We start from the raw sequence: 24,175 nt of genomic DNA, 5'->3' as shown, positions 1-24,175 counted from the left end.
CTTACACTTCCAGGTGCTCTCCACTGACCCTACCAGCTGGATATGGTGGGAAGAGGTGCTGGTAGGAGCTGTAGATTTCAGTGCCTCTCACACACCCACCTGAGACTGGAAGGTGTTAGCCATCTCCACTACTCCTATCCAAGTACATATCTTTATCAGTGACCAGGTTGCATACTGCCCTTGAAAGGAAGGTGCTAGTTATATTGTGTCTTTTAAGTTTTGGAGAAAAGAGAGTGGTATTGTTGGTTTTCTTACAGATTTAACCATACAGTTAAAAGAGAATTCTAAAAAAAAAAAAAAAAAAAAAAAAAGGATTCTGTTTATTGCTCATGCATCTCGCATACCTTGATAAGACTATGGTAGAAATGGAAAGAGTTGTCTACGTGGCCATTCTAGATTTGCCTAATACAACTATTAATAGTAATATTTCATTTGAAAACTAAAAAATGTAGGACAAAGTCTAAACCAGATAAAGTGCCAGGGCAACTTGTGTAAGCAAGGACTGTTTTAACCAAATTAGGACATCTGGTTCCTGCAGTTGATGGCACTATAAATCAGCCACACCTTCTATGTGTTTTTTCTTTTCTTTTTTTTTAAATTGCTATTTGTTTTCTTCTTTCTTTTTAAACTGTTACTTGTTTTTTGGCTATACCTTCTCTGCATATCAGAAACCTAGCATGATGTAAATGTTGTAAACTCTAGAAATAATATATCACATATAGGTAAAACTTAAATTATCAAGATTCTAGAACTAGACAAGACTACAAAAAATTTAACTATTAAGGAGGAATCTTTGAAAAGTAAGTAATAAAGAAACTGAAATATCAAGAATTCTTCATGGATGGGATAGAGCAATGAGTCTTTTTGGCCACAGAAGCCACCAAGTCCTCAAGGTGAGGATGTTTTCATATTAAAAAACAGTTTGTCATGCATGCATCAATACCTTCCATTTGCTAGAGTGGGATGAGAGCTCAAGTAAAGGGGCAAATTAAAGTGTACACAGAGGGCGAGTTTACAGATTCTTAAAGCTTTTTTAAAATGACATCAAGTGCTTTAAAAAATGAAGAAAATTAAGAAATAGAACACTTAACAAAAGACTTAAAAATAACTCATTAGGAAAGACCTTCAGTTTTTAATTATGTTTGGGGAAAGGCAGTCATATTACACTGATAAGAAAGTAAAGCAACTGCATTTTTAAATTCACTTTTTTGAGAAAGATAAGAGAAGAGAAGATGCTGAATTAAGTACTTTCTTCAGTGGAAATCAGGGTGTGAATTTCAATGAAACACGAAAAGAAATAGAAAAGGTATGGACAGGTTTTCAAAAGTATTAGAAAAGGAAGGTTGGAATAAAAACATCCAAGGAAATCTGTAGTTATAACAGCAAGAACACTATTGAGCAGAAGAGATGGAGCAACTGAAGGAAGCATCAGGGCACAGCTTGCTGGGAGCCTGCAGTACAGTGAAATTGAGTTCCATGTACTTTGATTATTAGATCCTGGAAGTGAAAAATATATTTTAGAAAAAAAAAAAGCAACACAATTAAGGGTTGGCATCAACTATCCAGAAAAGCCAGCCACACAGTGGGCTGCTCTCTACACCCATTCTCAGAACCTGAGGTGTTACCATCAAAGATCCCCTGGAGAGAGCCTGCAGCCAGGAAACCCTTTTGCAGTCCTTTCAAATCTTCTTCCTGTGCCAACTTCCAGGAGCACAGCCGAGCAACTTCTTGGAAGAAATAATATTACTTGTAACAGAATATCTTTGTGGTTACTCGCTCTAGCCACCACCAATTCCTGACAAGGATTCTCACAGAACTGAAGGAATTACAGAGCTACTTTAGATTTATAGCAGCATCTGACTGTGCAAATACAGACTTGTATTCTACTTGTAAAAAAATACACAACCAATAGCAACTTTTCTATTTGTTTATGGGACACACAAATGAAGTTTCCATTAGATAATTCAGTGCTACTGATTCAGGTCCCCACTCAGCCATGGCAAACCTGATTGACTTTATGCAGAATCAAAGGGGAACTCAAGGCAATTGACTCTCCTTCGTCTCGTGCTGCTGTTCAGGAGACAACATGTGCAAGGTGGCTGGCTTTCAACCTGGCAGCTTCCTATGAGAAATAATTCACTACATGTCACATGAAGTTGAAGATGTAGCCCTCCAGGGGCTATGGGGAGAGTCACCCTCAGCTCTGAGAAATTTACTGTGCTCCTCAGAGGCAGTCTAAGTGCTAATGTTTCCCTTCTCTTATGGAAATGCTTGCTGCTTATGGTAAATCCAGAATAGATACTTGGATCCTCCTCTGTGGACTGGAGTCTATTTTCCTGTACGTTTATGCATATCTCTTTGGATTTTTCAAGATTCTGCTGAGCTAAAAGCTCAGAACATTGGCACGAAGACGTGAATTAACACCGTTAGATGAAGAAAGAGAGGTTGGAACTGGGCAAATTGAAGCAAGATCTTCTTTTATCATCTAGACATTACATTAGTAATGCCTCTGGTTTTATAAATATGGCAACTTAACACAATTTAAAGTTTAACTTATTTTTCATGTCTGATCTTAAACATATTTTGAAATTTGATAAGGACTTTGCTTTCATCTTTGAAAAGATACTTTAAAGTTGTAAAACACTTTTAATACACAGAAAAATGTAGAATATAAAATAATAGATGCCTGTGTTTCCACTTTAAGATAAATATTTTTTGCTATATTTTCTTCAAATTTCTTTTTATTTTAAGAAATACTGGCCAGGTGCGGTGGCTCACGCCTGTAATCCCAGCACTTTGGGAGGCCGAGGCAGGCAGATCATGATGTCAAGAGATGGAGACCATCCTGGCCAACATGGTGAAACACCATCTATACTAAAAATACAAAAATTAACTGGGCGTGGTGGCGCGTGCCTGTAATCTCAGCTACTCGGGAGGCTGAGGCAGGAAAATTGCTTGAACCCTCGAGGAGGAGGTTGCAGTGATCCGAGATCACCCCACTGCACTCCAGCCTGGGCGACAGAGTGAGAGACTCTGTCTCAAAAAAAGAAAAAAAAAAAAGGAAATACCAAGTCACAGATATAGGTAAAACTCTCTCTTTCATCCTCTTGACTTGATTTTATGTATCAGGCAGATCTTGTTTTGAATTCCAGCTCTACACTTACTAGTTGTGTAACTGTGGGCAAATTATTTAACCTCTAAGCGGCAGTTGCTCATATGGGCAAGCTGCTTGCTCTAGTTATCTATTGCTATATAGCACCCAACCACATAACAGTGTCTTAAAACAATAATCACCATTTGTTTTGCTCATGTATTGGCACGTCTGAGCAGAGCCTAGCAGGAAAGGTTTATTTTTGCTCCATGCAATGTTAGCTGGGGCACGGGAGGCTGCAGGAGCAGCTTCTGAGGTGGTGCATTCACATGGCAGGCAAGTCAAGACAGGCTGTTGGCTGTTTGCTTAGCTGGGGCTGAGGGCTGGAGACCTTGTTGCTCTCCACAAGGGGCTCTACATGTGGCCTGAGCTTCCTTGCAAAATGGTAGATGAGTTCAAGGGCTAGCAACCAAATATAGCCAGGCAGAAGCTGTGTCGCCTTCTATGATCTGGCCTGAAAAGTCACTCAGAGCCACTTCCACCAAACTTGATTAGTCAGGACAGCTGCCCATCCAGCCTGGGCTTAAGAGGCAAGAACAGCAACTCCCCACTTCTTGATGGGGAAGTTAGACAGGAAATACTGTTGTGACCATTATTAGAAATTAAATTCTTCTACAATGGCTAACACTAATAGTAACTTCCAATGGGTTTACTATGAAGATTGACAAGAAAAATGTATATTATATACAGGACAGTGCCTTGCCAGCCCTTGGAAGGAGCTCAAATATATCAATTTAATTCTTCTTCTTCACTAGAACTTTAATTCATGTTTGTTTCCCCAAAGCAGATGTCACGGGAGTGCGGAAGTCCTAGGCACTGAGCAAGTGTTTGCTGCCTCAGTGAAGGAGGGGAAGGGGTTAATAATTATAAGATTTTGAGAATATTTAGTCATCATTCTTATTATCTTTAGGATCACAGACCTCTTTTATAATCTTATAAAACTTGAGGAACCCCTTTGTAAGAAAGTGCACACTTCTATATCCATTAAATGACTTTATTTCATGGGGTTCACAGCCCATTGCATTTATAGACTCCAGGTTAAGAGCCTCAGATTGAGACTTTTGCCTTTGCCTTTGATACACTTAAAGTGAAAACCTGCCATTTCCAGTGAGCTCAAGCTGTCATTTATGTCCCAGGTTTAACTATATTCAGCAAATAATTAACCAGAACGTAGGCGTTTTGTTTTGTTCCAGCTATATTGCACACTGCCTCGTCACTGAGTTTAGGAGCACAGATCCCCTATAACATTGTGTTTAGGTCAGAGAAAAGAAAAGACTCAGGAAGCTGAGAGGCACTTAACACATTTATTCTGAGCTTGCTTTCTGTTCCATCATTGTTCCTGCTATGTAGGTATTAGGCTTTTCTAATCAGCATTTATTTTACAAGTTGCCAAGTCCAGCAATAACATCTTAAAGAAACATTTGAAGAACTCAAATATGGGGGCTATTACACTGTGATTTTCTTGTTCCGTGATATAAATTCATAAGGATAAAGCTGGGGAAGAGGCTTGACATCAACTTAGTTCACACAGAGAGGCCCTTCAAAGACTGCAGAGAGGAGTTCGCAGCACCCCACCATAATGAAGGCTTTTAGGAGAGACTAGTTATTTCAGAGGTAGCTGGCAACTAAACCCTGCTGCTGTTACGAGAGAATGAGCTACTCTGCAGTGTCACTGATCTGTTGCTGTCTCCTGTCTGAAGAATCTGAGCATTCAGTAGGCACGGCCTGCTGTGCCAAAACACAGGCCACAGTTGGGGCTGCTTATGGCATACCTAGTGGCCACCAAGGCACCATGATGGGTCTGCTGGGCACAGTGGACTTGACAGTGCCTTAAACCGTTGCTTATGTCCCGGGGGTGGTTGGGGCTGTGCTACCCCCTTCCTGAAATAACTTTGTGATCCCGAAGAGATGTCCAAGCAGGGAGATGATGCCCAAGTGCCAGCTTTATCACTATTTATGGTTGTTTTCTTTATGCTTCAGGAAGTTTAAAATCTCCTCCACCTTTCAGAAGGCATGTGAAATTGAAGAGAAGCACATGGGACCAATGAAATGCTCAATGTTAAGCCAGTTCCAACTGGAAGAATAGAGTATGCAGTCCAAGAGCCTGCATTGTCCATATCAGAGTTTACCAACATTTTTTACTTCTTTCTGCTCAGCAATACTATGCAAAATGGATGCTTCCCACTCTGTCCTGTCCCCCTCAGTCTCAGGTACTTATGTGAAGAACTGATATAGTTCAATTGTCCTTGAGGGCAACTTGTTTTGACAAACACTGAGGGCAATCCCCAAGAGTCTGGAGGGTCTGGAAGTCTCCCCAACTCTGTCTCGGATCCTCATTCTTCCTCATTGTGGGGAGTGAGAAGGGCGGCAATAAGAGACCAGTGGTCTTCAAACTGGAGAAGGTGTGCCCCAAGTGAATGTAAGACCTCCTAAATGGTGTGTAGGCATGTAGAGTGTTCAATTTCAAGAGACTCAATTCCAAAATTTATGTGCCTTTGAAAAAGTATGGCCATTCTGGACCTTGCTTCTCTCATTCCCTTCTATAATCATCTTCTTTCCAGTTTGCAAGGACAGGCATTTATCTCAGCCATCTGGAACCTTAACTTGGTGCATCATCCTGGCAGAACAAGCCTGCGGGTCACCAAACAAAGTGATAGTTTTAATTTTGTATGCTGATGTTAATAAAGTAATAGCTACTAATAAAAAGGTAGCTGGCTTTCAATCTTTTGCTTCCAAAACAATTGAAGAAGAACCTCATCAGCTAGTAGTAGTAGTTTAAAAATAACTTTAGATGATAGGTCATTATGTATTTTTGGGCACATATCTCAGCCTCTTTATCTACAGATCAACCTTCTGCACATGTTCTATCTCCTTCCCTGCTTTACTTTTTTCTCTTTTATACTTATCACTATTTACTATGCTATATTGTATATTTTACTTAAAAAATTCATTTGTTATCAGACTCCCTCATTACAAGTTAAACTTTATAAGGGAAAAATTTTTGTCTGCTCTTATATGTTTTGCTCCCTGCTATAGCCCCCAAACCTGGAACAGTGTCTAGTACAAAGCAGGTCTTAAAAAATACTTGGGGAAGGAAGGAATTTTAAAAAATTGAGTGACATTGTTATAGCAAATTTCTTCCCATTCTTGTATTTTTTCTGTGAACAAGGTTTCTATAAATAAATACTAGCACCAAATATTGGAAGTATTTGAGGTAGCCTATCATTCTAGCAATAACTAATATTCATCCATGAAGACATGAACTGATTGAAACAAAACTGCTGCATTCATTTCATTAAGAGGTGCTTTTCCAACAAATATTTCATTTTATGATTAGGACTTACTCATCAAGATTTATATTGAATTTATGTTTACTCAATCATGTTGATGGCCAATAATTGAAATTATATTCCCATCCAAAGCAGAAATTAAACACTTAAAAATTTCCAGTTTACAGGGAAAATTCATTTTTTGGGGAGAATAAATCTGAAAAGATTTGCAAGCCACTACACTGAATTCAGTAAAATGTAATTGAGAGAAATTAAATATGTCTAAATGAATGGAAGAATATAAAGCATTAATGGATTGTGAAACTCAATATTATAAACTACCAATTGATCTGTGGAGCAATTAATCTATGAATTCAAAGAAAGCCCAATAAAAATTTCAGCAGTTTAATAAAAATGCTGATTTCTAAAATGTATGTGAAAAGGCAAAGACTCAAGATTAGTTAAGACAATCTTGAAGAAGAACCAAGTTGAAGAACTTATACTACCAGATATCAAGACTTTTTTTCAAGTAAATTACAGTAATTAACAGAGTATGCCATTACATAAGAAAGGACAATAGATAAATGAAACATAATAGAGTTAGAAAATAGATCTACTTGATTTATGAAAAAGGTGCCATCATAGGACAACAGGGAAATAATAGTTATATATATATGTTTCAATGGGTTTTTGGAGAACAGGTGGCGTTTGGTTACATGGGTAAGTTCTTTAGTGATGATTTCTGAGATTTTGGTGCACCCATCACCCAAGCAGTATACACTGTGCCCAATGTGTAGTCGTTTATCCCTCACCCACTCCCACCCTTCCCCCTATTCCCCAAAGTCCATTATGTCATTCTTATGCCTTTGAGTCCTCATAGCTTAGCTCCCATTTATAAGTGAAAACATACAATGTTTGGTTTTCCATTCCTGAGTTACTTCACTTAGAATAATAATCTCCAATTTTATCCAGTTATTTTGTTCCCTCTAATGGCTGAGTAATAGTCCATGGTGTATATATATATATTTATATACCATATAAAAATAAAAATATATTATACCATATATAATATAATATATCATATAAATATAAATATATAAATATATACATTTTAAAAAATTTTCTTTATATATATACACACACACACATATAAATATATGCCACATTTTCTTTATGCACTTGTTGACTGATGGGCATTTGGGCTGGCTCCATATTTTTGCAATTGTGAGTTGTGCTGCTATAAACATGCACGTGCAAGTGTCTTTTTCGTATAATGACTTTTCCTCTGGGTAGATACCCAGTAGTGGGATTGCTGGATCAAATGGCAGATCTATTTTTGCTTCTTTAAGGAATCTTCACATTTTTTTCCGTAGTGGTTGTACTAGTTTACATTTCCACCAGCAGTATAAAAGTGTTCCCTTTTCACCACATCCATGCCAACATCTATTCTTTTTTGATTTTTAAATTATGACCATTCTTGCAAGAGTAAGGTGGTATCACATTGTAGTTTTGATTTGCATTTCCCTGATAATCAGTGAGGTTGAGCATTTTTTCATATGTTTGTTCACAATTTGCGTATCTTCTTTTTAGAATTGCCTATTCATGTCTTAGGTCACTTTCTGATGGGATTGTTTGTTTGTTTTTTTCCTGCGGATTAGTTTGAGTTTCTTGTAGATATTGGATATTAGTCGTTTGTCAGATGCATAATTCGCAAAGATTTTCTCCAACTCTGTGGGTTGTCTGCTTACTCTGCTAATTATTTCTTTTGCTGTGAAGAAACTTTTTAGTTTAATTAAGTCCTATCTATTTATCATAGTTTTTGTTGCACTTGCTTTTAGGTTCTTGGTAATGAAGTCTTTGCCTAAGCCAATGTCTAGAAGGGTTTTTCCAATATTATCCTCTAGAATTTCTATGGTTTCAGGTCTTGGATTTAATTCTTTGATTCATCTTGAGTTTCTTTTTATACATATAAGGCGAAAGATGAGGATCCAGTTTCATTCTTCTACATGTGAGTTGCCGATTATCCCAGCACCATTTGTCGAATAGGGTGTCTTTTCTCCACTTAATGTTTTTGTTTGCTTTGTCGAAGATCAGTTGGCTGTAAGTATTTGGCTTTGTTTCTGTGTTCTCTATTTTGTTCCATTGGTCTATGTGCCTATTTTTATATCAGTACCATGCTGCTTCAGTGACTATAGCCTTGTAGCATAGTTTGAAGTCAGGTAATGTGATGCCTCCAGATTTGTTCTTTTTGCTTAGTCTGACTTGGCTATGTGGGCTCTTTTTTGGTTCCACATGAATTTTAGGATTTTTTTTTTTTTTTTAGTTCTGTGAAGAATGATGATGGTATTGTGATGGGAATTGCATTGAATTTGTAGATTGCTTTTGGAAGTATGGTCATTTCACAATATTGATTCTATGCATCCATGAGCATGGGGTGTTTCCATCTGTGCCATCTATAATTTCTTTCAGCAATGTTTTGCAGTTTTCCTTGTAGAGGTCTTTCACCTCCTTGGTTAGGTATATTGTCAAGTATTGTGTGTATATATATATGTGTATATATATATGTATATATATGTGTATATATATATGTATATATATGTGTATATATATGTATATATATGTGTATATATATGTGTGTATATATATGTGTATATATATATATATATTGCAGCTATTGTAAAAGGATTGAGTTCTTATTTGATTCACAGCTTTGTTGCTGTTGGTGTACAGCACTGCTACTGATTTGTGTATATTAATTTTGTATCCTGAAACTTTACTGAATTTATTTATCAGTTCTAGGTTCTTTTTGGATTAGTCTGTAGGCTTTTCTAGGTATATGATCATATCAATGGTAAACAGTGACAGTTTGACTTTCTCTTTACTAATTTGGATGCCCTCTATTTCTTTCTCTTGTCTGATTGCTCTGGCTAAGACTTCCAGTACTGTGTTGAATAGAAGTGGTGAAAGTGGGCATCCTTGTCTTGTTCCAGTTCTCATGGGGAATGCTTTCAACATTTCCCCAGTAAGTATAGTGTTGGCTGTGGGTTTGTCATAGATGGCTTTTATGACCTTAAGGTATGTCTCTTCTATGCCAATTTCGCTGAGAGTTTTAATCATAAAAGGATGCTGGATTTTGCCAAATGCTTTTTCTGCATCTGTCGATACGATCATGTGATTTGTGTTTTTAATTAACTCTGTTTATGTGGTGTATCACATTTATTGACTTGCATATGTTAAACCATCCCTGTGTCCCTGGTATGAAACCCACTTGATTATGGTGGATTATCTTTTTAATATGCTATTGGATTTGGTTAGCTACTATTTTATTGAGGATTTTTGCATCTATGTTCATCAGGGGTATTGGTCTGTAGTTTTTGTTGTTGTTATTGTTGTTGTATCCTTTCCTGGTTTTGGTCTTAGGGTGATAGTGGCTTCATAGAATGATTGAGGAAGAATTTCTTCTTTCTCTGTCTTGTGGAATAGTGTCAATAGTATTGGTACCAATTCTTTGAATGTCTGATAGAATTCAGCTATGAATCCATCTGGTCCTGGACTTTTCTATTGGTAATTTTTTAAAAAAATTACCATTTCAATCTTGCTGCTTGTTATTGGTCTGCTCAGGGTTTCTATTTCTTCCTGGTTTAATCTAGGAGGGTTGCATATTTCCAGGAATTTATCCGTCTTCTCTAGGTTTTCTAGTTTGTACACATAAATGTGTTCATAGTAACCTTGAATAATCTTTGTCTGTGTTATTCTTTGTAATATCTCTCATTTTGTTTCTAATTGAGCTTATTTGGATTCTCTCTCTTTTCTTGGTTAATATTGCAAATGGTCCATCAATCTTATTTATCTTTCAAAGAACCAGCTTTTTGTTTCACTTATCTTTTGTATTTTTTTTTTTCAATATATTTGGTTCTGCTCTGATCATTGTTATTTCTTCTGCAGGGTTTGGATTCGGTTTGTTCTTCTTTCTCTAGCTCCTTCAGGTGTGACCTGAGATTGTCTATTTGTGCTCTTTGAGACTTTTTGATGTAGGCATTTAATGCTTTAACTTTTCCTTTAGAATTGCTTTTGCTGTATCTCAGAGGCTTTGATAGGTTGTGTTACTATTATTGTTCAGTTCAAACAATTTTTAAGTTTCCATCTTGATTTCATTGTTGACCCAGCAATTATTCAGGAGCAGATTATTTAATTTCTATATATTTGCAGGGTTTTGAGGTTTCCTTTTGCAATTGATATCCAGTTTTATTCCTCTGTGGTCTGAGAGAGTACTTGATATAATTTCAATTTTCATAAATTTGTTGAGACTGGTTTTGTGGGCTATCTTATGGTCCACCTTGGAGAATGTTCCATGTGCTTATGAATAGAATGTCTATTCTGCAGTTGTTACTTAGAATGTTTAGTAAATATCTGTTAAGTTCATTTGTTCCCAGGGTATAGTTTAAGTTCATTGTTTCTTTGTTGACTTTCTGTCTATATCACCTGCCTAGTGCTGTCCATGGAGTATTGAAGTCCCCTGCCATTATTGTGTTGCTGCCTATCTAATTTCTTAGGTCTAGTAGTTATTATTTTACAAATTTGGGAGCTCAAGTGTTAGATGCATATATATTTAGGATTGTAATATTTTCCTGTTGGACTAGTCCTTTTATCATAATATAATGTCCCTTTTTGTCTTTTTTTTTTTTAACTGTTGTTGCTTTGAAGTTTGTTTTGTCTGATATAAAAATAGCTACTCCAGCTCTCTTTTGGTGTCCATTTACATGGAATATCTTTTCCCACCTCTTTACCTTAAGTTTATGTGAGTCCTTATGTGTTAGGCGAATTTCTTGAAGACAGAAGAGACTTGGTTGGTGAATTCTTATCCATTCTGCCATTCTGTATCTTTTAAGTGGAGCATTCAAGCCATTTACATTCAACATTAATATTGAGATGTAAGGTACTATTCTATTCATCATGCTAGTTGTTGCCTGAATACCTTGCTTTTTTTTTCATTGTATTATTGTTTTATAGGTCCTGTTAGATTTATGTGTTCAGAAGTTTCTATTTTGATGTATTTTGAGGTTTTGTTTCAAGATGTAGAGCTCCTTTGAACAGTTCTTGTAGTGCTGGCTGGGTAGTGGCAAATTCTCTCAGCATTTTTTTGTCTGAAAAGACTATATCTTTTTTTTCATTTATGAAGCTTGGTTTTGTTGGATACAAAATTCTTGGCTGATAATCGTTTTGTTTAAGGAGGCTAAAGATAGGACCCCACTTCCTTCTAGCTTGTAGGGTTTCTGCTGAGAAATCTGCTCTTAATCTGATAGGTTTTCCTTTATAGGTTACCTGATGCTTTTGCCTCACAGCTCTTAAGATTCTTTCCTTTGTGTTGACTTTAGATAACGTGATGACTATGTGCCTAGGCAATTATCTTTCTGCAGTGAATTTCCTGGGCATTCTTTGAGTTTTTTGTATTTGGATGTCTAGATCTGTAGTAAGGCCAGAAAAGTTTTCCTCACTTATTCCCTCAAATGTGTTTTCCAAACTTTTAGAATTCTCCTCTTCCCCAGGAACACCAATTATTCTTACGTTTGGCTGTTTAACATAATCCCAAACTTCGTAGAGGCTTTACTCATTTTTTTCTGATTTTTTTCTTTGTTTTTGTTAGATTGGATTAATGCAAAAGCCTTGTTTTTGAGCTCTGAAGTTCTTTCTTCTACTTGTTTGATTTTATTGCTGAGATTTCCCAGTGTATTTTGCATTTCTCTAAGTGTGTCCTTCATTTCCAGAAATTGTGATTGTTTTAAAATTTGTGCTTTCTATTTCTCTGGAGATTTTTCCATCCATATCCAGTAACATTGAAAAAATTTCTTTAAGTTGGACTTCACCTCTCTCTGATGCCTCTTTGAACAGCCTAATAATCGACCTTCTGAATTATTTTTCTGGCATACAGATATTTCTTGTTGGTTTCGGTCCATTGCTGGTGAGCTAGTGTGATCTTTTGGTGGTGTTAAAGAACCTTGTTTTGTCATATTACCAGAATTATTCTTCTGGTTCCTTCTCATTTGGGTAGACTATGTCAGAGGGAAGATCTGGGGCTCAAGGTCTGCTGTTCAGATTCTTTTGTTTCATGGGGTGCTGCCTTGATGTGGTGCTCTCCCCTCTTCCCGTAGGGGTGGGGCTTCCTAAGAGCCTGACTACAGTGATTGTTATTTCTCTTTGGGTCTAGCCATCCAGCAGAGCTACCGGGCTCTGGGCTGGTACTGGGGTGTGTCTGCAAAGAGTCCTATGGTGTGAACTGTCTTCAGGTCACTTAGCCATGGTTACTAGCAACTGCTCCAGTGAAGGTAGCAGGGGAGTGAAGTGGACTCTGTGTGAGACTTTGGTTATGGTTTTGTTTAGTGCACTGCTTTTCTTGAATGCTGGTTGTGCTGGCAGTAAAGTTGTCACATGGAAAGACTCAGGACCTCTGGTTAGCCAGGATGTTACAGGTGGTGAAATTAGCTGTTGTTTTCTCCTTTCTTGGGGCAGTGATGTTCTTTTATGAGTTGTTCTTTTATGGTTTGAGTTGGTTAGCCTCCAGCCAGGAGGTGATGCTTTCAAGACGGCATCAGCTGTAGTAGTATAGGGAGGATACAAACTTCCCCTACGGTCACCTGGAGGAGCACTCAGCTTTCTCAGGTTGAGGGCAGGGCCGTTAGAGCTCCCAAGATATTATGTCTTTTGTCTTTGGCTACCAGGGTGGGTAGAGAAAGACCATTAGGTGGTGGCAGGGTTAGGCGTGTCTGAGCTCAGCCTCTCTTTGGACAGGCCTTTCCATGGCTGCTGTGGGGTATGGAGTTGTGGTTCTCAGGCCAAGGGAGTTATGTTCCCAGGGGAATTATGGCTGCCTCTGCTGTGTCATACAGGTTGCCAGGGTAGTGGGAGAAAGCCGGCAATGATAGGCTTCAGTCAGTTCTCATGCAGCCAGAAAGGCCAGTCTCACTCTCACTATGTCACCCCCAATAGCACCAAATTTATTTCCACGCAACCAGTAAGCAAGGCTGAGAACTTGCCCCAGGCTACAAACCTCCCTGCTGAGAAAGCAAGCATGGCTTTCAGACTTCACCCCTCCCTGCCTGCTGAGGCTTCTGTGGTTGTATCTGTACTTCCCTTTTGCCCCCCCACTACAGATTCTGTCCAGGAAAATTCACATTATGTTTAAATTATTACAAAGTTTAGTAGGGAGTTTCTTTCTCCTCGTAGTTTTTCCCCAATTCCGCTGGCAGCCCTCCCCAAGGTCCCCTGTGAAATAAAGTAATAAATAGCTTCCCTGGTCTTCCTTGGGGGCGAGGAGTCCTTACAGGGCTCTTCCAGCTGCTGCTTCTACTTTTATATTTCACTCAGCTCTCTAAATTCATTTCAGCTCTAGGTAAGGTTAAATTCTTCTCCCGTGATGTGAATTTTCAAGTTTCCCAGTGAGGATGTGTGGTTGGAAACAGACATTCCCCCTCTCACACTTTGGGCACTCACAGTTTTCGGCTGTTTCACGGAGTACGCAGTGGCAAGCCACTTCTTTCAAAGGCTCTACGAATTCTTTCAGTTTTCCTGATATGTTCCTGCAGTAGTTCTTGGAACAAAAGTTCATGATGTGAGTCTCCACATGCTGTTCTGTCTATCTGAGTGGGAGCCGCAAGTTAGTTCTGTCTCCTGTCTGCCATTTTCTTTGCAATGTGGTCAAGAATAGTTTTTTATGTGAAGGGTTTTTGGTCAACTGAATACACATATGGAGGAAATAAAGAATGTTGATTTCTACCTCACATGATATGTAAAAATCAATAGATCACAATGTAAGATGCTTAATATATAATATAATATGATATAATATAGAAGAATATCTTCATGGGACATAGTTTAGGCAAAGTCCTAAAAAGTATGAAAAAGTACTAACCACAGAATTTCTTACTTTAAGCTTAATAACTGAACTATACAAATTAAAAACTTTTGTTCATGAAAAGATAACATTGAGAATGGAATTACAATCTGCAAGATTTTTTACTGCAGAAATATATAACGAGTTAAGAAAACATTTTTAGCAGAATAAACATATGACATTAGGACAGAATTTTATGGGGGAAGTGGAATGTAGAAAATGTCCAAAAATAAGATGGAATGGTTTAAAATTGTAACTACTAAAGTTTGTTTAGGGACATTAAAGATGGATAATGATGAATATTAAATCACTATAGCATTTAGATTCCATGGGATAATTTCAGAACAGTAATGCTTTCATTTTTATTATTAAAAATTGTAGTGATTTTGTATGGTGTTAATTTATCTAAGCTGGAGTTATGTGTCCTGGAATTTCCTTCTGTATATGGTTCTGAGTTAGGGTTGGTTATATAGACATTTGTGAGATTATGGAAGACAAGTGAAACAGCAGTTCTGATGCTCAGGAAGTTGGTATGGAGTCCCAGGCTCCACTGTAATTCACATGCGGAGTGCTGACAGCTAAGAGCAGGACATGCTTGACAACTGAGACCACAGTGGGAGTGGGTCACTTACACAGCTCAGTGGATGCCAACAGGAAAGATGGGAAAGGAAGCGGATGTCTACTCCCACTCCTCACAGCCCACACCACCACATCAACCCTGACTTCAGAATCAGTCCCTGTGCTTGCACTTGATGTAGCTGCGAAATCACGAAGATGGCCAAGTTCTTCTGCAAGCCACTACCATGAGGAAGAAGCATTAAGTCCGGTCTTTGGGAAATAGCGGTGGTTACATTTTTGCTTTTTAAAATCATACCCACAACATCTGTCATGTCATATTCTCTTACATTGTATCAAGTCAGACTTTAACAATGGTGTATTCTTCTATTTCATAATTTCACTGGATAGCCATATAGAATTTTGCAGCTATTAAAATGAAACACAGTTTTTGTTTTTAAATTTTTTTGTTTTTAGATTTTTTCAGTATTTGAACTGGATTCTGAAATTCTGTTTTTCTAATGATAAGCTTCACATATTAAATAGTCTGTGCTGAGACAGTTGATTTGAGAGAAGATTATTGAGTGTGTTCTTTTACATGTGCCTCCTCATATCCACTTAAATTTTAGTGGGCTAATCCATTATTTTCCCTACATTGTGCCAGTACTTTGTATTATCACTCAATATTTAAATATGAATATTCTAGTTTTAATCTAGTGAGTGACTAACGTCTCTCTTTCTCTCTATGTATATCGATCTTTTTTAGCCTATTTATTAAGAACTTTATTGTTAACAAAATTCTGGAAAGAAAGGTACTACTGCATTTTGGAATGCATTTGGATTTTGGCACCCAAAATATCTGGATTAAATATTAATTGCAGTTCTTACACGCTATGTGAGTTGGGAAAAAAAAATTGTAGTTTACTCATCTGTAAAATGAGGACAATGGCTGCCTCACAGGGTGTCATTACCTTATACAAGGTAATGGCGATGGAGTGCCAGCACACAGAAAGCATGCAGTAAACAACAAGCTGTTGCTGACTTATTTAAACATTTATCTTATTTTGAGGATACACTCTCATTAACTGTTATTTCCAAAATTTCAAAGGCTCTGTCTAATGTAGGATTACATAATGATCTGTAAGAATTCCAACATTCTGTCCTTGCTGTCCCCCGAACAGTGTTGTGTCCCTGTGGAACTTTCACGAACTTGTACTTGTGTTTGGTTGGATTTCTTCATATTTAAAATGAACAGCTAGTTTGGAAGGGAAAATTCATTAGTGTGCCACATTTTGAGGAATAATGGTTTTATCTTCTATGACTTGTTTTTATTCTGGAAAGGAAGCTTGTCTGCATAAAGGTCTCTTAGGAAAGAAAAGAAAACTCCGTGGAGGCAGAATTTGTGAATTTGAGTGTCATGTGGAAGTGCTCTCCTTCCCCCTCTCCAGGGCTGCTGAATAGTCCATGGGCAGGTCAATGCCTGGTGCTCAGGACAATCCTGCTCACCTTTCCTTTAGCTTTTGACTGGCATTGCTTTCATTTTCTACCCCGTTTTTTCCCCAGTAGCACAAACCATGAGATAAGATCTCTCTCCTGTCGTGTCATTTCAAGTCACTCCAGAGAGTCTTTGAAAATAATATCTCCTTTGAGTAAGGTGCTCAAAGTGGCTTTTTCCAATTGTTTTCAGTGTTATTCCTTTAGATTCACTGATACGCTTATTCTGGTTATTCTGTGAGGATCTCCTGGACTGTGCTTGCTTTAGTATTTAGTTTTTGATTCTTGAGTCAGGGAACCAGGCTGTAGAGTCCTTACAGGGGTGCATTTACTACTGCTGCAGCTTCTGTCATTGCTTTTTGTTGCAAGAGTTGTACTGTCTTAATAAAGATGTCTGTAACACACCAGCTCTCACCATTCCAGCCCTCCCCTAACAGATAAAAACTTTTTTGTGTTGATTTTCTCACATTTGGAAAAAATAAGTTATTTTTCTTACTTTAGTCTGCATTTTTTTTTTTTAAGAGACAGGGTCCTGCTTTGTTGTCCAGGCTGGACTGCAGTGGCATCATCACAGCTCACTGCAGCCTTAATCTCCTAGGCCCAAGAGATCCTCCCACCTCAGCCTTCCAAGCAGCAAGCACCAGCACACCCTGCTACTTTTCTTTCTTTCCTTTTTTTTAGAGAGAAGGTCTCACCATGTCGCCCAGACTGGTCTCAAGCTTCTGGCCTCAAGAGATCTTTCCACCTTGGCTTCCCAAACTGCTGGGATTACAGGTGCGTGTCACCACACAAGACTTTATCAGTATCTTTAATAGTACATTTTCTCTTATTTTAAGAGTCACTCAGTTCTTTTTAAAGACACACAAATTGTGCTCTCTTTCTCTATAGTAGATATGCCCTCAATCATTCCTTAATCTTTGTCAAGAGCTCAGTAATTAGATGGAGTGACTGCCTTGGCCTTACTGAAGTCCCTCTCAAAGTTTTTGTAATTTTTCAATTACTGTCTGTTCAGTTTCACTGGTGGCTGAGGCCTTTGTGTCAGTATTGTTGGGCTCATTTGGAGGAACCTTTTATTCAGGAGAAAATAAGATTGGAAAAAATTCTTGAAAACACCTACCTTTTCTATTTTTGGAGCTATTCAACATTTTTATTTGACTGTACTTCTGGCTTTTGCTCCCACTGTGAGTCCAGATCTTTGGAATTAGATGTTTCTCATACTCAGTGCTGACAATTTTTTCCCATTTTAAAATTTTCTAATAGTGTATGATATTTAAATAATAGGATAATGAATTTCTAAACTCTTTGGAGTCAATGAAGCAGAATAGAATGGCTGAGAGAAAAAATCATGGTCCAAAAGGTAAGAGGCTTAAAACAATCCTGAGAGTTTGCCTAAATAGTTTTAGACAAATTCTTTTCCTATGTAATACATTTTTTCTTAGTTATCCAGTTTTTTCCCGCAATATATTTTTTAATCATTCTTATTTAAGTGTAGCCAATGTTTTACTTTGCTCTTTAAATCAAGTAACAAATGCTTGCTGGCATTGAAGTCTCTTCATAATTCCTTTTTACTGTCCGCTTTCACAATTTTGGACATTTCCGTTTTGAAATACTTTCTTTTTTTATAGCTCCTATTATTACTTTTGTTTCTCTCTTTCCTAGGACAATCTCCATGAAAATGCCATTTGCTCACTGAGATCTCTTTTATAAATCCTTTTCCCTTTCTATGAATTGCTGTTCAAAGAAAACTGAATTTGATCATATTCCCAAGATTAAATCCATTCACTGCTCCACATCATCCAGCAGAGCATCTGAAGTGGTGTGACCTGAGTGGGTACAGATGTGACAAGGTATCAATTCTCTCATTCCCTGGTGTGTGTGTGTGTGTGTGTGTGTGTGTGTGTGTTCATTGAGTGAGGCTTGGGGTAGTTAGCCTTCTAGGGCAGACATTTCTTCCTCGGAGATGGCTAGTTTATCTACCACTGGATGCCTATAAATGTTGGAATTCTCCAGCCGGGTGCTTGTAATCCCAGTGCTTTGGGAAGCTGAGGTGGGAGAATCACTTGAGCTCAGGAGTTCGAGGCTGCATGAGCTATGATTGTGCCACAGCACTCCAGCATTGGTGACAGAGAGAGACCCTGTCTCTAAAAAAACAAATTTAAAAAAGAGGCATTCTCCATGAGTGCCAAGTATGAAATAGGTTGAAAATCACTAGTGTAAAATGGAATCCAAGGTCCCTCAAGGACTGATTCACCATTCATTTCGTGAACTGAATGTACCCAGTAACTTATGACTTCCTGATTGATCCAGATTTTCCACAAACATTCCTAAATATTTTATGGTGTTTCTGTGCTATTATAGCTTATTTTCCCTGGTATCTAAAATGTCTTTCCTTTGTTCTCTTCCTGATGATGTGTATTTTGCACATGAGACCATACTATATGTTCTGAGCAGCCACATTTGATGCCTTGAGACACAGTTAGCCTCTGCTTACGTTTTCTGCACATCTGACTCACTTTACACAAACCAGTATCTGCATTTCACTCTTCTGTAATTATTTGCCTACCTCACTTCCTTATTAGAATGTAAGATCTTCTGGCAGATCGAGTTTTATTAATCTCTGTATCCTTGTGGCATGGCCTAACTCACAGAAGTCTCCCAATAATTGCTTCTTGAATGAGTGAATCAATTAATAAGTGAAAAATTAGCTATTTAAGTTTGTTTATTTATGCTTGTTTTGTTTATTAGGACAATATTTTAAGGACTAAAAAATGATATTAATCATTACAGTGAATTCATGTTTGCAGTTTAAGTATTTAAGGGACTTAAAAGTCTAAAATTAAACAATAATATTTTGCCTCTGGACTATAAATGCTTTTGAATATGAACAGTTTAGTGACCTCAGAACAAGAAAAGATATGAGAGAAATACAGCCAATCAAACATTTCAATGCGTACAGGAGTTAGCAGCCTACTTAAAATATGGAAAGAATACAGGATTCCATCAGGTAATATGATTAAAAGAAGCAAATGGAATATCAACAAAGTGTCTGTCAAGCCATATGAAAAGATGTTAAAATGTTTTAAAGGGCTAACAATTATTAAACCAACCAAAATGAGACTCTTAGTAGGAGTAAAGTCTTCTGTATTCAAATCTAATGTCCTTTGAGTCCCGTAGCTGTGGCCTGCTAGATTATTTTATGGAATGAGATTTTCTTTTGTTCCAACAACTATTAAAGAAAAGCTCTTTAAATTCATTAGTGGTAAGCTATAGAATCTTCTTAGAATTTGGGTACCGCTTCCCTGCCGAAAATTCCTGAACATATAGAAATCTTAAGTTGTCTGAGATGCTTATTTATTGGAGAAGTGTATTTCTAACACATGAAATTAACTATAGAGAAAACAAAGTAAGCTAATCCCATATAGTGTTAATACTATTTCAGAAAGTACAGGTTAGAATTTTATAATCATTGGGATAATCTGTGTCTGCTTGGTATATAAAATCTTTTTAGTTCTTAAAATAATCAGATGGATTATATTAGATTTGTTAGATTAACCCACTGAAACCAATTCAAAATTTTAATTGAGTGATTGATTTTATACTTGTGATTTTAGGTTGAAAGACATGACAATATTTTATTAAATTTGTGTAATGTTATAAAAACTTGAGATTTAATTTATGAATGAGCTTATTTTATTAGATTTATTAGATTTGCTGGATTAGCTTAAAAACCAGCGAATGTTTTGTTTATTGGGACAAATATATGAAGGACTTCCAAAAATGATAATTACAATGAATTCATGTTAAATGTTTAAGGGAATTTAAGTTACAAATGGAACAGATTATTTAAAGGAATGTAGACTATTGAATTTAAACAGATTGAATAGTAACTGAAGTTTCAGTGTGGTGGCTTACGCCTGTAATCCCAGCACTTTGGGAGGCCAAGGTGGGAGGATCATGAGGTAAGGAGATTGAGATCATCCTGGCTAACATGGTGAAACCCCATCTCTACTAAAAATACAAAAACAAAATTAGCCAGGCATGGTGGCGGGCACCTGCAGTCCCAGCTACTCGGGAGGCTGAGGCAGGAGAATGGCATGAACCCGGGAGGCAGAGCATGCAGTGAGCCGAGATCGCGCCACTGCACTCTAGCCTGGGTGACAGAGTGAGACTCCGTCTCAAAAAAAAAAAAAGGATGAAATTCTGATACATGCTACAATATGGATGAAACTTGAAAACCTTATGGGACATTAAATAAACCATACACAAAAGAACAAATATTGTGTAATTCTATTTGCATGAGGTAATTAGAATAGACAAATGCACAGAGATAAAAAGTAGAATAGAGGGCAGGTCGCTGTGACTCACGCCTGTAATCCCAGCACTTTGGGAGGCCGAGGCGGGTGGATCACCTGTGGTCAGGAGTTCGAGACCAGCCTGGCCAACATGGTGAAACCCCATCTCTACTAAAAATACAAAAATTAGCCGGGCATGGTGTCAGGCGCCTGTAATCCCAGCTACTCAGGAGGCTGAGGCAGGAGAATTGTTTGAACCGGAGAGGCGGAGGTTGCAGTGAGCTAAGATCGCACCATCACACTCCAGCCTGGGGGACAAGAATGAGACTTTGTCTCCAAAAAAAAAAGGTAGAATGGAGGTTACTAGAGGCTGGAGGGAGGGGAGGATGAAAAGTTGAAAAGTTGTTGTTGAATGGGTACAGAGATACTGTTTAGGATGATGAAAAAGTTCTGGAAATGATAGTAGTGATGGTCGCACAACACTCTGAATGTACCTAATGCCACTGAGTTGTACACTTAAAAATATTAAAATGGTTAATATTATGTCACGTATTTTAGCACAATGAAAAGAAGCTCTCCCCTAAAGTGACTCTTAACACTTGCTAGATTTATAAGCAGAATACTTAAAGTTCTATGTAGCATCTAGAGCAGTGGTGTCTAATTTTTTGGCTTCCCTGGGACACATTGGAAGAATTGTCTTGGGCCGCACATAAAATAAGCTAACACTAATGATAGTTGATGAGCTAAAAGAAAAATCTCAAAACAATCTCATAAAGTTTTAAGAAAGTTTACAAATTTGTGTTGGGCCACATTTAAAGTCACCCTGGGCTGCATGTGGCCCATGGGCTGCGGGTTGGACAAGCTTGATTTAGAGCTTAAAAAAACAAAAAACCACAGTTTTTAAAAAATTTGTTACTTTAAAAAATTGCATAATGGTTTAAAACCCTGAGTAGATATTAATAGAATTTTCTGGGCAGAAAAGCCTCCCTCATGAAAATGTACAAAGTCATAGAGAAACTTTGGTCTTCACCTGTTTCCCTGAAACTTTCTTGTCTCAGTTAGGAGGAAAACACAGTCAGTATGACACCTTGGCTTTGACTTTAGGACTAGTAACTAAGTGTTTGTTTTCCTTAAGTAAAAAAGAAACAGATTTAATTTACTTTTCCAAATAAACACGTGGGTGAGTAAATAGAAAAGGAGGCAAATATAGAGCAAAGGAAAAGAAAATAAAACTTAAGCCCAACCTGTGATTTTTTTCTCACAGCATACGAAAACACAGTATACTTTTTATCCTTTTCACAGAGCCCTCCTGCTCAATACGGGATTTACAATGCAGTCTCTGGGACAATCTGCCCTTTAATTCACTACTTTTTTGAGAGTCAGCAGGTCAGGGAAGCCCAGATCATCTCTTCGACCATTTGGTATGAAGCTGCTTCTGAAGTCAAGCCCTTTGTTTTGGCTGGAAGGCTTTCCAGTAAGTGATTCCCTGCATGCTTACTGCTCCTTCTGCCAGGAATGGTCTCCTGGCCTTTGCCTCTTAGCTCCTTTTCATCCTCAGGTGTTAGCCTACATGTCCTCTTCTCAGAGAGAGCTTCCCAGGCATGCTGGAGGCACTTCTGTTTGCTGAATGCTTGATACGCTGGACTCCTAACTCTCCCTTGAATGACAGGAGAACTCCTGCCTGTTTCTACTCGGGGTCTCCCTGTCTGCGAGGGAACCTTTCTCTGACAGACTCTCTCAGGTGCTCCTCAGTGCCTTATGCCTCAAAGGCACTTATCACCTGCTTCTCAAATTATATGGTCAACCTTTCTCTGAGCAACACTCAATGACCCAGGCCCGTTTGATACTGTGGCTCCAGCATTTGAAACGTGCGGCTTCCAAAGCTTCAGTGCTGGTCTATGTCCAGCAGGAAGAAAGGATAAGAACATGAAGAATCACACGTGGAAGTAATTTGGGGGCCAGGACTGGAACCCTCGTCTAGAATACAATCTCATGGGGCATCTAACTGCCTGGAGGCTGGGATAGATGGTACAATTGTGTGCTTGGGAGGAGAACAAACAAACGGGCTTAGTGAAGAGCCAGCCAGTCTCTGACACAAGCTTGTACATAGCTGTCATGATATCGCTGAAGGTGGTATTAAATGAATAAGGGTTGGGAAACAGTAGGAGTTTTGTAGTTGATTGAACTGTGACAAAGAAAGATGTCTTCAGAAAATACCACTAACTTTAATATAGATTTTCTGTACTTAAAATCAGCGAGAAAGAGAGAGAGGGAGAGAGAGAGAAAGAGAAAGATCTGTTTCCTTCTATGAGGAAAAATGTGGATAAAATGGAAACACTAGTTTGTTATAACTTAGAAATAATTTATAATTAACTTACTTTGTGTCTTATACAATTTAGAAGGAGAGATAAATGCTTTTACCAAATGTTCCCTATTTTTTTTCACACTTGCATTCAAGTCATATGAATACTCCCTAATATCTCATTTAGGTGGCAGTTTCAAATATTGTTCCCAGAAAGAACACTAAATTATTATTTTTTTCTTAGTAAAGTACATAGTCTAGAGAACATGAAGATGAGTGTTCCATATATGCCCTTTATTGCTGGTTACTTGTATGATACTTCTTTTTAAGGTAGTGTAAAATCAGATCTCCATTAAATCTTAAATAATTGGTCCAAGACTATAGCTCTTAAAAATATTATATGCCATTTTGTTATTTAAAAGGATAAACATCTCTTTTATTGTCTGGTCTTACTTTAAAAACATTTCTGTTTTATTGGCTGACCTTACTGAAAATGCTTTAGTATAACAGTGTGAATGTTAATATAAACTCTATAGTAGGAATGATTAGTTAATATTTTAAGGACATAATGACAGCTCATCACTCCAAAAGCAGCTTGAACAAGTTGTTCAAAATTGGTTACCTGTGTCTGCATCAGAAATCTGCTTAATCTGCGTAAGAATATTTAAAGTACCTTTAAAAATTGAGGCATAATAGATGTACATAGTTTTGGGGGCACATGTGATAATTTAATACATGCCTATAATTTGCAAAGATCAAATCAGTGTACTTGGGATATACATCACTTAAATATTTGTCTTTTCTTTACGGTAGAAACATTCAAAATATTCTCATCTAGCTATTTCCCAAAGTGCAATAGATACTGTAAATTATAGTCACTCTACTATTGAACACTAGATATTAAAAATAATTTTTAATTGGCAAAATATGTGCTGTTCAAGAGATGCGATTTTCTGGAAATCCAGGGGAGAAAGTGTTCAAGGAAGGAGAAGTCAACAGCAGCCAAAGCTGTCAATCAATCTTGATAAGATCCAAGAGAACTTGACAATTAGGAAGTCCCTGCTGGCCTCTGAGACAGCATCTTCAGTGATAACTCAGGAGGCATGAGAGTGAGTGGGAGGGGGGTGAGGAAGGGAGTGCTGTCAGTCTCGGCCACTTTGCAGAGAAGCTGGGATGTGGAGGGAAGGAGTATGAGAGAAGTTGGGATGTGGAGGAAAGGAGTAT

At 37.7% G+C, this 24,175-nt stretch overlaps 1 protein-coding gene across 4 annotated transcripts in view; it reads right to left on the bottom strand.

The window, feature by feature from the left end:
• The window catches only part of NKAIN3 (sodium/potassium transporting ATPase interacting 3), a 750,799-nt gene that overhangs the window by 48,397 nt on the left and 678,227 nt on the right, over positions 1-24,175 (bottom strand). Inside the window, exon 6 of one of the 4 annotated variants that reach the window (NM_001410914.1) lies at positions 4,442-5,782. The exons of the other annotated variants lie outside the window; for them this stretch is intronic. Coding sequence (NP_001397843.1) covers positions 5,751-5,782 — 32 coding nt within the window. The 3' untranslated portion in view covers positions 4,442-5,750. Of the gene's footprint in view, positions 1-4,441; positions 5,783-24,175 lie in introns of those variants that run through there. 4 annotated transcript variants of the gene reach the window in all.

The sequence above is a fragment of the Homo sapiens genome, chromosome 8 (assembly GCF_000001405.40).
Source record: "Homo sapiens chromosome 8, GRCh38.p14 Primary Assembly".
NCBI classification, from domain to species: domain Eukaryota; kingdom Metazoa; phylum Chordata; class Mammalia; order Primates; family Hominidae; genus Homo; species Homo sapiens.
The sequence above is the reverse complement of the archived record's forward strand: the minus strand, read 5'-3'. Positions and strand labels throughout refer to the sequence as shown.